The sequence below is a fragment of the Homo sapiens genome, chromosome 14, assembly GCF_000001405.40.
Source record: "Homo sapiens chromosome 14, GRCh38.p14 Primary Assembly".
In the NCBI taxonomy this organism is placed as follows: Eukaryota; Metazoa; Chordata; class Mammalia; order Primates; family Hominidae; genus Homo; species Homo sapiens.
The window spans coordinates 20001658-20004014 of record NC_000014.9 but is presented as its reverse complement, the minus strand read 5'-3'; the positions used below and the strand labels follow the sequence as shown (position 1 = coordinate 20004014).

The 2357-nt window shown below is 37.0% G+C and overlaps 1 pseudogene across 1 annotated transcript; it reads right to left on the bottom strand.

The window, feature by feature from the left end:
- Positions 1-909: 909 nt before the first annotated feature.
- On the bottom strand, positions 910-1852 carry OR4Q2 (olfactory receptor family 4 subfamily Q member 2 (gene/pseudogene); annotated as a pseudogene). Its single transcript, NR_145508.2, has one exon. The product of NR_145508.2 is annotated as an olfactory receptor family 4 subfamily Q member 2 (gene/pseudogene), transcript variant 1, noncoding (transcript).
- Between the last annotated feature and the right edge of the window lie 505 nt (positions 1853-2357).

The following is a 2357-nucleotide window of genomic DNA, read 5'->3' as shown; positions in this document are numbered from 1 at the left end:
GAATTGTGATTCAAAGAGGGATATTTGAACCCACAATATTAGGCAACTGCTTTCTCTACTACATGTGATAAGGTGATGAAACTAATATATTCCATTAGCTTGTTGTTATATAGTCATAAATTGAATTCACTCTAATACATCTAACTGATATCTCTTAAATATGTACAGAAAGAAATACCTGTAAATTGACTGCAGATATCTACAGATGCTCCTCAACTTATGATGGGCTTATGTCTGAATAAACCCACCGTAAGTTGAAAATACTGTAAGTCAAGAATGTATTTAATAAACCTAACCTACTGAACATGATAGCTTAGCCTAGCCTCCCTCAAACATGCCCAGAACATTGACACTGGTCTACAGTTAGACAAAATCATCTAACACAAAGCAAATTTTATAATAATAAAGAGTTGAATGTAATTTATGGAATGCTGTGCGGAAAGTGAAAAACAAAATGGTTACATGAGTAATCAAAGTATGGTTTGTACACCATCTTAAAGACAAAAAATTATAAGGTGAATCATCATAACTCAGGGACCATCTGTAGTTGTAATAAGTTAAAATTGAAGAAAAACAAATAAAGCAAGGTAGAGAAGGCAGTGAAGGCTTAGAAAAAGTGGTTTGTACCAGTGCCAAATGACAAACTAAATGGAAATACTGGATGGAATAAAATTTGATGAGGTGAATACATAAGAGGAAAAAGACAATCTGATAGAAAAATCAGATTTGATTGAATAAAAAAGTAAACAGATTAGTTATAGTGTACAGTTGAATGATAAAGTCAATAATAGGGCTATTTTGATTTAATGAAATAAATTTAAAAACTAGGCAACCACCTTCTAACTCATTATTTGAAAAGTTATTATTTTAACCTCAGATTTTCTACTTTCAAAAATTCATATCAATGTCTCATGTCTCCTGCTTTTTCCAAGTAAGCCCATTTCTGACCCAGAGCTTCTGCATGGCTGACTTTACCTCTTTGTTCCGAAGTGTGTAGATGAGGGGGTTTAGCATTGGGGTAATAACATTGTAGAGTACAGACACCATCTTGTCCACAGAAAATGTAGAGAAAGGACGAGCGTAGATGAAAATACAGGGTCCAAAAAACAGTGTTACCACCATGAGGTGAGAGGCACACGTGGAGAGTGCCTTTCGCCTTCCTTCCTTGGAGCGAATCTTGACTAGGATAGTGGTGTAGGAGGAAATCAGCACCACAAAGGAGATGGTGGAGATCAACCCACTGTTAGATACCATGAGCAATTCAATGACAAAAGTGTCAGCACAAGCAAGTTTGATGACAGGGGGAACATCACAAAAAAAAGTTTTCCACCTGATTTGGCCCACAAAAGGGTAGATGGACAGTGAGAATGGTCTGGACAGTGGAGTGCACAAATCCTCCCATCCAGGAGGCAGCAACCAACACACAGCATAACCCCCGACTCATGACAGTGGTGTAGTGCAGCGGGCGACAGATTGCAACATAGCGATCGTACGCCATCACTGTGAGCAGGAACATCTCAGCTGCCCCTACAAAATGCAGGAAGAAGAGTTGCACAATGCATTGGTCATAGGAAATGAGTTTTTCATGATTAAAGAAGTCAGCCAGAAGCTTAGGGGTCGTTACTGTTGAATAACATAGGTCCAGAAATGAGAGGTTGCCAAGAAGGAAATACATGGGTGATGAATTCAGGTATTTATCAGATGCTACTGTGACCATGATGAGGACATTGCCAACCCAAATGGACATATAGAAGAAAAGAAATAGTACAAATAGCCCTGCTTCAATAGATGGTGTCTGTGAGAACCCTGACAAGAAAAATTCTCTCATCACTTCTGTTTGGTTTTTATCCATTTGATCTGGCTCTACCTAGATCAAAGAGATTAAACAATAGGGCATTAGTGACATTTAAAATGAATGAGGTAATTCATATCAAATACAAGACTCTGCTCATTTCAAAAGAGAGATTTTTCATCCTCTAAGATACATCCTGATTAATTAGCTGGAAGAAATTATTTTCTCCTTACCTAATATAAATGTATATTATTTCACCAGCTGCAACCTCAAGACACTGATGACATGGCCAAGGTTGATTAGAACATGAAGTTACCTGGCTCCAAGCTACTAACTTCCACATGATGCATTTCTGTCTTCCAACATTCAACACATTACTTCTCTCTCCTTTTCCACATTCAGTCTCAAGAAATGTTATATTTTTCTGAAATTTTTTTTTAATAAGAATATTTGGGGAAAAAATAAAATCAAAGGTAGAATTTCAGATTCCAGTAAATGGACATTAGATCTGTAGAGCTTTTATTTGAGAAAAGGGAATCCCTGTACCCTTTGCCATCAAGAAAAC